Source organism: Homo sapiens, chromosome 3, assembly GCF_000001405.40.
Source record: "Homo sapiens chromosome 3, GRCh38.p14 Primary Assembly".
Classification (NCBI taxonomy): Eukaryota; Metazoa; Chordata; class Mammalia; order Primates; family Hominidae; genus Homo; species Homo sapiens.
In genome coordinates this window covers 100,583,424-100,597,174 of record NC_000003.12, presented here as the reverse complement: position 1 = coordinate 100,597,174, position 13,751 = coordinate 100,583,424, and the positions used below count along the sequence as shown (strand labels likewise).

The window sequence follows — 13,751 nt, the reverse complement described above, 5'->3', positions numbered from 1 at the left end:
ATCGGCATACAAAAAACATACCTCAATATAATAAAAGCCATCTATGACAAATCCACAGCAAACATAATACTGAATGGAGAAAAGTTGAAAGCATTCCCTCTGAAAACTGGAACGACACAAGGATGCCCACTCTCACCACTCCTCTTCAACACAGTACTGGAAGTCCTAACCAGAGCAATCAAACAAGAGAAAGAAATAAAGGACATCCAAATTGGTAGAGAGCAAGTCAAACTCTCCCTGTTTGCTGACCATATGATCGTTTACCTTGAAAACCCTAAAGACTCCTCCAGAAAGCTCCTAGACTTGATGGAATGATTCAGCAATGTTTCCAGATACAAGATTAACATACACAAATCAGTAGCTCTTCTATACACCAGCAGCAACTGAGCAGAGAATCAAATCAAGAACTCAACCCCTTTTACAATAGCTGCAAATAAAATAAAATAAAATAAAATAAAATAAAATAAAATACTTAGGAATATACCTAACCAAGGAGGCAAAAGACATCTGCAAGGAAAACTACAAAGCACTGCTGAAAGAAATCATAGACAACACAAACAAATGGAAACACATCCCATGGTCATGGATGGGTAGAATCAATATTATAAAAATGACCATACTGCCAAAAGCAATCTACAAATTCACCGCAATCCCCATCATAATACCACCATCATGTTTCACAGAATTAGAAAAAACAATTCTAAAATTCATATGGAACCAAAAAAGAGCCTGCATAGCCAAAGCAAGACTAAGCAAATAGAACAAATCTGGAGGCATCACACTACCTGATTTCAAACTATATTATAAGGCCATAGTCACCAAAAACAGTATGGTACTGGTATAAAATTAGGCACGCGGACCAATGAAACAGAATAGAGAAGCCAGAAATAAACCCAAATACTTACAGCCAATTGATCTTTGACAAAGCAAACAAAAACATAAAGTGGGGAAAGGACACCCTTTTTAACAAATGGTGCTGGGATAATTGGCTAGACACATGTAGGAAAATGAAACTGGATCCTCATCTCTCACATTATACAAAAGTCAACTCAAGATGGATTAAGAACTTAAACCTAAAACCTGAAACTATAAAAATTCTAGAAGATAACATTGGAAAAATCCTTCTAGACGTTGGCTTAGGCAAGAATTTCATGACCAAGAACCCAAAAGCAAATGCAATAAAAACAAAGATAAATAGCTGGGACTTAATTAAACTAAACAGCTTTTGCACGGCAAAAGGAACAGTCAGCAGAGTAAACAGACAACCCACAGAGTGGGAGAAAATCTTCACAATCTATACATCTGACAAAGGACTAATATCCAGAATCTACAACAAACTCAAACAAATCAGTAAGAAAAAAAACAAACAGTCCCATCAAAAAGTGGGCTATGGATAGGAATAGACAATTCTCAAAAGGAGATATACAAATGGCCAACAAACATATGAAAAAATGTTCAACATCACTAATGGTCAGGAAAATGCAAATCAAGACCACACTGTAATACCACTTTACTCCTGCAAGAATGGCCATAATTTAAAAATGAAAACACAGTAGATGTTGGCATGGATGCAGTCACCAAAACAGTATGGTACTGGTATACAAATAGGCACATAGACCAATGGAACAGAATAGAGAACCCAGAAATAAACCCAAATACTTACAGCCAATTGATCTTTGACAAAGCAAACAAAAACATAAAGTGGGGAAAGGACACCCTTTTCAACAAACGGTGCTGTGATAATTGGCTAGCCACATGTAGGAGAATGAAACTGAAACACTTCTACACTGCTGGTGGGAATGTAAACTAGTACAATCACTATGGAAAACAGTATGGAGATTCCTTAAAGAACTAAAAGTAGAACTACCATTTGATCCAGCAATCCCACTACTGGGTATCTACCTAGAAGAAAAGAAGTCATTATATGAAAAAGATACTCACACACAGAAGTTTATGGCAGCACAATTTGCAGCACATGCATGTTTACAGCAGTACAATTTGCAATTGCAAAATCATGAAATCAAACCAAATGCCCATCAATCAACGAGCGGATGAAGAAACTGTGATGTAGATATATACGACGGACTACTACTCAGCCATAAAAAGGAATGAATTAATGGCAGTTGCAGAAACCTGGATGAGATTGGAGACTATTATTCTAAGTGAAATAACTCAGGAATGAAAAGCCAAACATTGTTTGTTCTCACTGATATATGGGAGCTAAGCTATGAGGACACAAAGGCATAAGAACGACACAATGGACTTTGGGAACTTGGAAGGGTGGAAGTGGGGGCAAGGGATAAAAGACTACAAATAGGGTGCAGTGTCCACTGCTTGGGTGATGGGTGCACCAAAGTCTCACAAATCACCACTAAAGAACCTACTCATGTAACCAAATACCACCTGTATCCCCAATAACCTATGGAAAAATTATTTTAAAAGGAAGTGAATCATTATACCAAAATTAATATTTCTAGAAACATCAAAAGCCACAATAAACCAATTCCCCTTTATGTTGCAGAACATCAGTTGAATAGCATTGCTTTATAAAGCCATATGACCATAATAAAAAACCTAATAGAAAACTAATGATCTATATCACAATTGAAATCAATAAATCAATAAAAGAAAATAACAGTGACTCTTAAGCCATTCAGCATCCTTAAGATAAAAAAATAAATAAAATCCTGTCATTTGCAGCAACATGGATGAGACTGGCAGACATTACGTTAAGTAAAATAAGTCAGGCACAGAAAGACAAATGTGACAAGTTCTTACTCATGTGCAAGCTAAAACAATTGATCTCATGGACGTAGAGAGTAGAATGGTGGTTACCAGAGAGTGGGAAGGGTAGTGGGGAGGGGGAGATAAAGAGGAGTTGATTAATGAGTACGAAAATATGATTAGATAGAATGAATAAAATCTAATGCTCAGTAGCACAATAGGGCAACTATAGTTAGCAATAATTTATCATGTATTTTAAAATAACTAGAAGAATCATCTTAGAATGTTTCCAACACAAACAGATGATAAATGTTTGAGATGATGGATATTTCAACTACCTAGATTTGATCATTGCACATTACATGCTTGTGTCGAAATATCATATGTACTCCATAAACATGCATAACCATTATGTATCCATAAAAAATTTTAAAAACCAATGATCACAAGACCAGTCCAGATTCATGCTACAAAAAGCACAAATTCAAGATGGCAGGATTCACTGGAGGCTGTGATGATTAATTTTATGTGTCAACTTGGCTTGGCCATAGTATTCAGATATTTGGTCAAAATTTATTCAGATTTTTTGTGAAGGTATTTTTTATTTAATTTTGTTAACATTGTCTCTTACATTTTCTCTAATTTACAAATAGCCTGGTAACAGAAGTTCTAATAAACTGAATTAAAATCCTAATGCTGAGCTGAAGCTTTACCTCATTTATAAAATTCCTTATTTTCCACTGATGATTCCCCTGATCATCTCATTTGTTCAAGATTTTCAAATTTTGGATGTTATTAATTTGCCTGAGTGTTTTGGAAGAGACTACCAAATAACCTACGATCTATCCTTTCCTTCTTTAAAAAAAAAAAAAAGAACTTTAATTTCAGGGGAGCTAATGGCCTGCAAGCAAGTCACGATTATTTCCAGCCTCCCTTGAAGCAAAGTGTAGTTATATGACTAAGTTTAGGCTATTGGAAAATAGGCAGAAAGGATGATTGCACCTTCCAGATTTCCAGATCACAGTAGAAATTACACATCACATTAGAAATTCCAGCCACTCTATTTTCCCCTTCTATAGTCTTGAATGCCGACATGGACATCTCAAAAAATGGTAGAACGATCAAACAAAAGGAGCCTGGGTCTTGAATGTCCTCCTAGATCAGAGATGAAGATGAAAGTATTTTATAGATGAGAATTAACACTTAACATTTAAGTGAGTAGACTTTTTGGATTTTGATTTTTTTTATTTTTTGACAGACTCTCGCTCTATTGCCCAGGCTGGAGTGCAGTGGCATGATCTCGGCTCACCGCAAACTCCGCCCCCAGCTCAAGTGATTCTAATGCCTCAGCTATCTGATTAGCTGGGACTACAGGCATGCACCACCATGCCCAGCAATTTTTGTATTTTTTAGTAGAGACAGGGTTTTGCCACGTTGGCCAGGCTGGCTTCGAACTCTTGGCCTCATGTGATCCACCTGCCTCGGCCTCTCAAAGTGTTGGGTTTACAGGTGTGAGCTACTCTTGCCCAGCCTTAAGCCAGTAGACTTTGAGTAAAGTGAATTACCCTTGGTAATGTGGGTGGGCCTCATCTGTATTGGGCCATTTTTGTGTTGCTATAAAGGAATACCTGAGGTTGGGTAACTGATAAAGAAAAGAGGTTTAATTGACTCATGGTTCTGCAGGCTGTACAAGAAGCACGGTGCCAACATCTGCTCAGCTTCCGGTGAGAGCCTCAGGAAGCTCACAATCATGACAGAAGACGACAGGGAGCCAGCATGTCACATGGAGCTAGCAGGAGCTAGAGTGACAGCAGGAGAGGTGATACCCTCCGAAACAAGATCTCACGCACTCAGAGAACTCACTATCACCAAGGGGGTTGTGCTAAGCCATTCATGAGGGATCTGCCCCCTGATCCAATACCTCCGTATAGGCTCACCTCCAACATGGGGGATCACATTTCAACATGAGATTTGAAGGGGTCACACATCTAAACCATATCATTATACAATCAGTTGAAGGCCTTTTTTTTAATTTTTTTATTTTTCCACAGTTTTCACTCAGTCACCCAGGCTGGAGTGCAGTGGTACAATCATCTCATCACAGCTTCAATCGCCCAGGCTTCCCGAGTAGTTGAGACTATTGGCACTGGCTAATTTTTTTTTTTTTTTTTTTTTTTGACACAGGCTGCCTATATTGCCAGGCTGGTCTCGAATTCCTGAGCTCAAGCAATCCTTCCGTCTTGGCCTCCCAAAGTGCTGGGATTACAGACATGAGCCACCATGCCCAGCCCAGTTGAAGGCCTTAATAAAAAAAGGCTAACCTTTCCCAAAGAAGAAGGAATTCCTCTGGGCTTGAACTGTAACATCAACTCTTCCCAGCCTGTTGTCTCAAATACATGCCTTATTTTGAATTCTAAAACATGAAGCTTAAAACTAATGTTAAAGTAATAAGATTGTATTAGTTTGCTAAGGCTGCTCTAAGAAAGTACCACAGGTTTGGGACTTGTCAGCCTCTACAGCCACTTGTGCCAATTCCTTAAAATCCTCCCCTCAAGCCTACATTTGTATATTGGTTCTGTTTCTCTGGAGAACTAATACAGGGGCCATTCTGCAATAAGAACCATGCATTTTACAGGATATGAAGGCCCATAATCCCCAGAAAGCTTAATAATAATGTATGATATTCAAGGATACTCAACGAGTTTGTGATCTAGTTAGCAAGCGTATAAAACATTAGAAGACACCAAAGACAACAATGCAGAAGTCACTAGTTAATAAATGATTTACAAGTATAAACATTGCCTCCCAGAGGAATGTTGGAATGACAAAAATACTGGTTAAGGACACTTGCCAACCTGGTGAGCCCATAAAATAGTATAAATGTATAACTAAGCCAAGTTGTCAGTAAGTTTCTCAACAAAGATAATGCATTTTATGGCTGGTAATAAAACTTGGGGTAGATAATATCTTCATCCCTGGCATTTGCCGTATTGCCCTCAGTGTACCATTTTCCATGCTTTATTCTGAAATCTAAAAACATTAAGCTTAAAACTAATGTAAAGTAATGGGGTTGTTTGAGTTTGCTAAGGTTGCTATAAGAAAGTATCACAAACGGAGCAGCTTAAACAACAGAAATTTGTCTCACAGTTCTGGAGGCTAGAAATTCCAGATCAAGGTATTGTCAGGGCCATGCTCCCTTTCAAGGTGTTAGAGAGAATCTGTTCCATGCCTCCCTCTTAGTTAGCTTCTGATAGTATGCTGCCAAACTTCGGCATTCCTTGACTTGTAGACATATCACTCCAATCTCTTCCTTTATGTCCATATGGTGTTTTCCACGTGTGTGTGTGTGTGTGTCCAAATTTTTATTTTTTATAAAGACATAAGGCATATTAAATTGGAAACTACCCTACTTCAGTATGGCCTCATCTTAACTAATTTGATCTGGAATTATCATATTTCCATATAAGATCACCTTCTAAGGTACTGGGGGTTAGGACTTCAAAATATGAAATTTGTGGGGGACAGACACAATTTTACCCATAACAATGGATTAAAGTACTAATAAATTAAAACCTAAGATTTTTTAAAATAACTCAAACTCTACCTCTAACTATTTTTGTGGTCTGACTTCTTGGGGTGAAGGACGCTTCTTTTAGGATGTGAACTTGGTGTTTGCTTATGAGTTGTGTTTCTACACTCTGCCACTAGAGGGCAGCATCATCGCTCTTGTCTTTTTCACTGTTCAGCCTATTCCGCAATATCGTCAGTCCTCAGTCATCCTCCGTACTATACACACAATAGAGACGGAATATATTTTAGACACATATCTTGAGAAGTGAGAAGTGGGGAAGGTATCTTATTCTGGGGAGTCTCGTGTGCCCTGGCCATCACTGTCCTGGTGGTGATCCTCCCTTTCCTGAATCTCTGACTAGAATCAAATACCAGAGATATTTGAACAGAAGCTGGCATTTCTTCCTCTGAATGGGACACAGGAAGAGAGGTGGGGGTATGAAGACAGATGGTCCTCAGAATAAGGCAGGTCCATCTGAGAAGGAACTGAGCCATTCACTATGCAATAGTCTAACCGCTGAAGTGGAAAGAGCCCGCACTTACGGTGCCTGGAGACTTACCTCTGATGATGGGCTTGGCCACTAACTGCTTGCTCTTGGACAAGTCACTAACTCTCCAGTCTCAGGGTCTTCACCTACAGACAACATCTTAGGACATATTGATAATATCTTCCTTATACTTTCTCTCTTCTTTCTGCACCTAGAGCTCCCTATTCAATACTACATGTTAAGAAAGATTCCTTAGGTGCTATAATAGAGACCAAAGAAATATGTTTCTCTTTAGGGAATTATAATGCAGTGAGAAGAATTTATGGATAGGGATAATTAGAGGACTAAACAGCATATGATCCAGTAATTCCCCAGGCTCTCTGCTCTAGGAATTTATAGACAGAAGAGAGCAGTATGAAGTAGTAGGAGGGAAAGGTTTGGAATTTGGCCATAAAGAATCTTCAGAATTAAGCTGATAGGTTGAAGGAAGAGAGGGCGGTTAATTCAACATAGATATGGGAATTAAAATAAAATGTTTTGGGAGAACAGAGAACAAGTCAGCCTGATTGGTAAAAGCCTTATGTTAAGAACATAAGATGAGCACATAACTATACATTGAATCACATGCAATTGACATTATTTGATTTGATTTGATACCCAAATAGTCTAAGCTTTGAGAATAATGTTAATTAATTTAGACTTGGTATCAGAGGCAAAAGGAAGCTGCGTCAGTTTCTGAGCCGATGAAAGAGGGTTGTTCCATCCTAAACTGCTAAGCCCCTTAATTACGTGGGTGAGCTTATTCCTGTATGTTTTAGAGGCTGTATGTATTTGGGCCTCAGGCACAGATCAGCAAATCAGGTGTTATTTGGCCTACACTTTCAGCTTTTTACTTGAAATCTTTAATCCTCCCTTTAGAAGATGTGAAAATAGGCAGAACAGCCCAAGATCATGAGAGGACTCAGATAAGGAGCACTGTTTCACCTCCATTTGAACATTTCCTTAACCATCATAATTCTTCCCACAACTCATATACACACTCAAGAAATATATGTCATCCCAACTTTAAGGCATTAAAGGTTAAAGGCATTAAGAAATACTGACGTCCAATCTCAGAGCTGTTGGTTGAATTACCTTTGAAAGAGAACTAATTGAGGCACAGAGCCGAATGATGGTTACCAGAGGCTGGGAAGGGTAATGAGGTTGCAGGGTAGGATAAAGTGGGGATGGTTAATGAGTACAAAAATACAAGTAGGTAGAAGGAATAAGATCTAGTGTTTGGTAGCACAATAGGGCAACTATAGTTAACAATAATTTATTGTATATTTTAAAATATCTAAAAGAGTAGAATTGGAATATACTCAAAACAAAGAAATGATAAAAGTTTGAGGTGATGGATACCCCAGTTACCCAGATTTGATCATTACATATTATATGCCTGTATCAAAACATCACATGCACCCCATAAGTATGTACAACTATTCTGAACTCATAATAATTAAAAATTTAAAAAGTTTTAAAATTCTTAGCATAGGATTAAATTAGTATTATGATAATAATACTTAAACATGTAAACATAATTGTTAGAAATTCTTATAGATTTCTAGAGCCGTAAAAATAAAATAATATATTATTTTACACATTTTATAAATCAAACACAAATAAAAGTAAAAAATATAAAAGAATCAAGAATAAATAATTAAAATAAAAGAGGGCGACCTAGAATTCATTAGGTTATCATCCTTAATAGCTATAAAAATTAAGTAGTCCTATGAGACAGGCAGCATATTTGGAAAAAAATTCAGGATTGCATCACGTTCAGAAGGCTTTAGACTTAGAATAAAATCTGTTTAAGTTTCTTAAAAGCTAAAGAATTAAAAAATATCTCATCAAGTGACATGACATCCTGGGTGGGAGTTGCAGATTTTTCATGAGTAGGCAGCAAAGACAGGTTAATTATAACTCCAACTCAGGAAGGTGCACACCCTGTACATAGAAGGCTGGAACACAACCTATGCAAAGGGTTTGATATGTGACTGTAATGAGTTTCAGATATGCCATTATGGTCACTGTCAAGAATCCTATCCCATTCAGTACCCCTGGGTCTAATAACTCACCAGCTGCCTAGGTACTCCCCAACATTACCTGCCATAAACAAATCACTTTCTTTTTTTTTTTTTTTTTTTTTTTTTTGAGACGGAGTCTCACTCTTTCGCCCAAGCTGGACTGCAGTGGCGCTATCCCGGCTCACTGCAAGCTCCGCCTCTTGGGTTCATGCCATTCTCCTGCCTCAGCCTCCCGAGTAGCTGGGATTACAGGCGCCCACCACCACGCCCGGCTAATTTTTTGTATTTTTAGTAGAGACGGGGTTTCACCGTGTTAGCCAGGATGGTCTCGATCTCCTGACCTCGTGATCCGCCCGCCTCGGCCTCCCAAAGTGCTGGGATTACAGGCGTGAGCCACCGCGCCCGGCCACAAATCACTTTCTTAAAGCAAGGCTGTTTTAACAGAGAAAGACTTAGAATTAAATACAGAAATGTTTAAGAGAATCAAGACCACAATGCTGATATTTTCTGTTAAGGAATTTTGTATGTTTACCATTTTAGGTATTTGTAATTTTCAAAATGATTTTTTTCTATTCAGATTAGTTTTATAAACCCAATTTATCAATGTGCAATTCAGTAACAAACTTAGGCCTGTGATTTTATGAAATCTCATTAAGTTTATACCCAGTATTTGAATATTTAAGAAAACTTAAGTTTCATCACATTTATAAGTTTAATAAATTAACTTATAAGTTTAATAAATTAGATTTCTAAGAATTACATAAGAACTTGGGAGGATTCATGAGTTAATTGAAGTACTTAAGAAGAATGTTAGAATATTTAATTCGTAAATACAGTTTAAAATGCTTAAAGGGGAGACTGATACGAGAAATAAAACTCTGGTCTCCTGCATAGCCGGCTCTGCGTGAATTACTCTTTCTCTATTACAATTACCCTGTCTTGATAAATCAGCTCTGTCTAGGCAGCAGGCAAGGTGAACCCATTGAGTAGTTACAAATTTGGGGGCTAGTCCAGCATTGCCCTTGTGGCAACTTACCCATGGTTCAGTAGTCTGCCTCCTGCAATGGATCCTGAGGCCTCCTAGTTCTCTTGGACTGGGGGCTGACTCTGGTACTGTCTCTACTGGAGGGGTGCTGCTGACCCAATGTGCGTGGATTTAATTGCAATAGAGAAAGAGTCCTGGGAAAACATCCTATAACTGTAGCTCTATCACAGGGTGTCTGCCTGTAGCTCCATGGTGGGGTGTGTGTAACTGTAGCCCTATTATAGGGTGTCTGTCTGTAGCTCAGTCATGTCATGGAGTATCTATAGCTGTAGCCCCATTACAGGGTGTCTGGATTGGTAAATATCCTAGGTGCTGCCAACACCTCTTTCCTTCTCCCAGTTGGTTTGGCTCCTTCAGGGGTTTCAGTTTTTCTGTAGCCCCATAGTGGGGTGTCTGTCTCTAGGACCCTTGTGGGGTGTCTGTCTCGGTTCCGCTCCTTCAGGGGTCCTGGTTTGTCTGTAGCCCCATTGTGGGGTGTCTGTCTTCTCTCAGCTTCTGAGGGGTCTCAGTTGGCTCTCCCTAATTCTTAGGAAGAGTCTTGGTTCAGGAGACTTCTCAATCAGGAAGATTTCGGGGAGATTTCTCAGATGGAGAATAGGAGGATAGTTTCAAAGGGATACTCCTGGAATTCTTGGTTAGGGATCTTGGTTTGGAAGACCTTCTCTCTGTCTTGTCTTTGTTGTGTGTGTGTTTGTATGTATGGATGGGATCTCTGAAGGAATTGCTGATGAAAGTTCAGCAGGCCTAACTTGGAAAGTCTGGTCACATTTAGTGAGCCCTGAAGAAAGTTCAACAGGCCTGACTTGGGGAGACTGTCCGCTCTTTGTCTTGCCCAGAGACCACCCATTGAATTACCAGTCAGAGGCCCTCTCCACCTGGAATGAATCAAAGACAACAGGGACCAATGGGAGAAAGTTTCAGCCTTGCCAGGTGGATACTGAGTGCTGAACGAGGTGATTAGTGTCTGTTTTGCTATGTGTATTTTGCTTCAGCTGGGATGGAAAATGTTAATTCAGTTTCTCATGCAGCTCATTGGGCAGCATTTTGCAAAAGTAAGAAGATTTTGCCTATGGTTGCATAGGAGATTTTTTAAAAAATTTTTTTAAAGAGCTTGATATGGTTTGGCTGTGTCCCCACCCAAATCTCATCTTGAATTCCATACTTGTGGTAGTGAATAAGTCTCACGAGATCTGATGGTTTTATAAGAGGTTTCCGCTTTTGCTTCTCTCTCATTCTTTCTTTGCCTGCCGCCATCCATGTAAGACGTGACTTGCTCCTCCTTGCCTTCTGCCATGATTGTGAGGCCTCCCCAACCATATGGAACTGTAAGTCCGTTAAACCTCTTTCTTTTGTAAATTGCCCAATCTCTGGTATGTCTTTATCAGCAGCAGGAAAATGAACTAATACAGAGCTCTGTGGTTAAGATCAGCTCATTAAAAGTGGATATCCAAGCTATAAATATATTTAAAAGACCTTTATGATTTTTTCTCTTCTTGGATCTTATTTTTCTTCACAGCTGACTGAATTGTTTTTCTCCATTTTGTCTTCTTACCACTCTTGATGCCCACATGAGAGAACCTAAGATAAATTCTAACAGCCTAGGACTCTTGGGGAAAAACAGAGGAGGTGCCACAGACTCCATTCTAGGAAAAACTTCTGTTTTCCTCATGGAACCCCAGGAATTGAAAGAGAATAAACCCTTCTCAAAAATCTAAGGCTCTGTTCTGTTTTACACTACGTTGCCTAACATTTTCTATTTTTGGGGGGGGGGGGGTGTCAAAAATTACATTGCATTATGGGACAGCTTTTAGCCTTGGTGTGTAATAACCAGGTAGGAAATATACTTAAAGGGATGGCTAATAGCAGTTAGAAGGCATGCTTGACTCTTTGATGTTTGGATTAGAGAAGCATGCTCTTGGCTACCTGGAAGGTATGAAAATATCTCCACCCTCCACTAAGAGATAAGATTCCCATGGGGGATGGGCTGATTGGCTTTGGGTTGCTTTGCAATGAAATGCACAGTAGAAGCATTGCACTGTCTTCTCCTGTAGTATTTCCCTCTTTTGGGGGGATCCAGGATGCAGCATAAAAATGGCACCCTTAATTTGGGGGTTATATTTTTCCTTCCATCTGTGCCTACTTATTAGGCCCTAAAAGCTGTGTGCTTTCCTGGCCTGTTCCTCCAAGGGCTCCACCCTGAAGCTAGTAATCCAACTAAGAAACTGGCAAATGAAAAATCTTACAACTACTGGATCTTCTGTCTGTGTATTTATATGTGTAGGGTGTGTGATGTTTAGATAAAAGAGTTCTGACTAATTGGCTTAGAAAAATAAGCACTTAAATCAAATATTTTGTCAGAAAAATAGAAACTTTTTAATGCCTTCTTCTTCATGTGACTTTGGTAATCTTTCAGAAATAAAGACAGTTTTAATTATTTTTGGTAAAATAAACATGTCTTCAAAATTTAGACATTTGATCTAAATTAGGTCAGATATCAGGTTTGCTAAATGCTTTAAGTTCATAAACTGCTTCTTTGACTTTTGAAAATTGTTCGACTTACCTACTTTGGAGCCATTAGAGACTCTAGATAAGGCCTGGGGACATGTGAAATTAGCCATGCCCCCCTAGCTATGCTGGAAGGAGTCAGGCCTTGTCTGCACTTCTGTCTGATGTCCTAGGCTCCACATTTAGTACATAATTAAAACCGCTTGCTTATCAGGTTTCTCGTAAAAAATAAAAGTTCCTAAGAGTTAACATAGTTGAGACTACTGGAGAAACAGTTTTATATACAAGGTACGTAAGGAAAGTAGAATGTGTTTTTGGTAAAAGATGAAAGAAGACATGGGAATATGGTTTTTGTTAAAGGGAATGTAATTTTGTCTAGTTCAGAGGGTTTTAAAGATTGTCTTAAACTATAAGAGTAATGGGACAAAACTGAAGGTTTAAGCAAGTTGAAAAGGGTTTATGAAGGCTTGATCTTTTGCAGAAAGTTCTGTGGGCATGAGCAAGTTGGCTAGGATTTGAAGGGGATTATTTAACTTTTTTCTGTAGATTGAATGTTAAAGTAGAAGTACACTAATGCAGGGCTGGGCCCATGTGTCTAAATAGCAGAGTTTGTTTAGAAAATTAATCTGCTGTTTAACAGAAAATTATAAAGGGCTCTAAAAAGCTTATGCAAATCTTACTTTATGGTCAAACTAATTAAAACTGGATAGATTTATAAAATTTTATTAAAACCTAGCTTAAGCATTAAAGATGCACTAATGCAAACATGAAATTTGGTTTCCTCTTTTGAAAAATTTTTATGTAGTATTGAGAGGAAATGAAAGATTTTTGTTTGCCTTTTGAGTAAACTCCAAAAAAAAGGGAGGGGAGAGAGGACAAACAGATTCAGTTGGCTTCATCCTGTCTTCATTGGATCTTGTTGTTTGGAAAGCTAAATCTCCTATCAGAGTAAAGGTTTTTATTTTTAAAAATTTTGGAGTTACCATTTTAGCTAATGAATGACTTACAGTGACCTGGGATTCTATTTTGTCATATCCAGTGTTTCAAACCTTTGATATTTGACAAACTTTCCAAAACCAAATTATAAAATATATCTTTTTCTGACATAATTAATCTTTTAGATATTATGTCCTCTAAAGTCCAAAAGTGATATATTTGGCTTATTTGGTATAAAAATAATACAGTAAGCATTGCCAAATAAGAAATGGTGTTTGGCTTTCTTTGGGCTATGTTTATGTAAATGTGTTATTGGTATATGTTCCAAAATTATGTGAAACTCCTATAATTCTGATATAACTCAGTCTATGGTATCAGTAATAATTATAAGTGTTGCGTTATGTGAAATTATTGTGT

At 38.2% G+C, this 13,751-nt stretch overlaps 1 annotated feature.

The window, feature by feature from the left end:
• Positions 6,342-6,501: a silencer, noted in NCBI's record as "silent region_14574". NCBI's record gives its function as "represses an Ori minimal core promoter by ATAC-STARR-seq in GM12878 lymphoblastoid cells {active_cell/tissue: GM12878}" and the evidence as "EXISTENCE:reporter gene assay evidence [ECO:0000049][PMID:35858748]".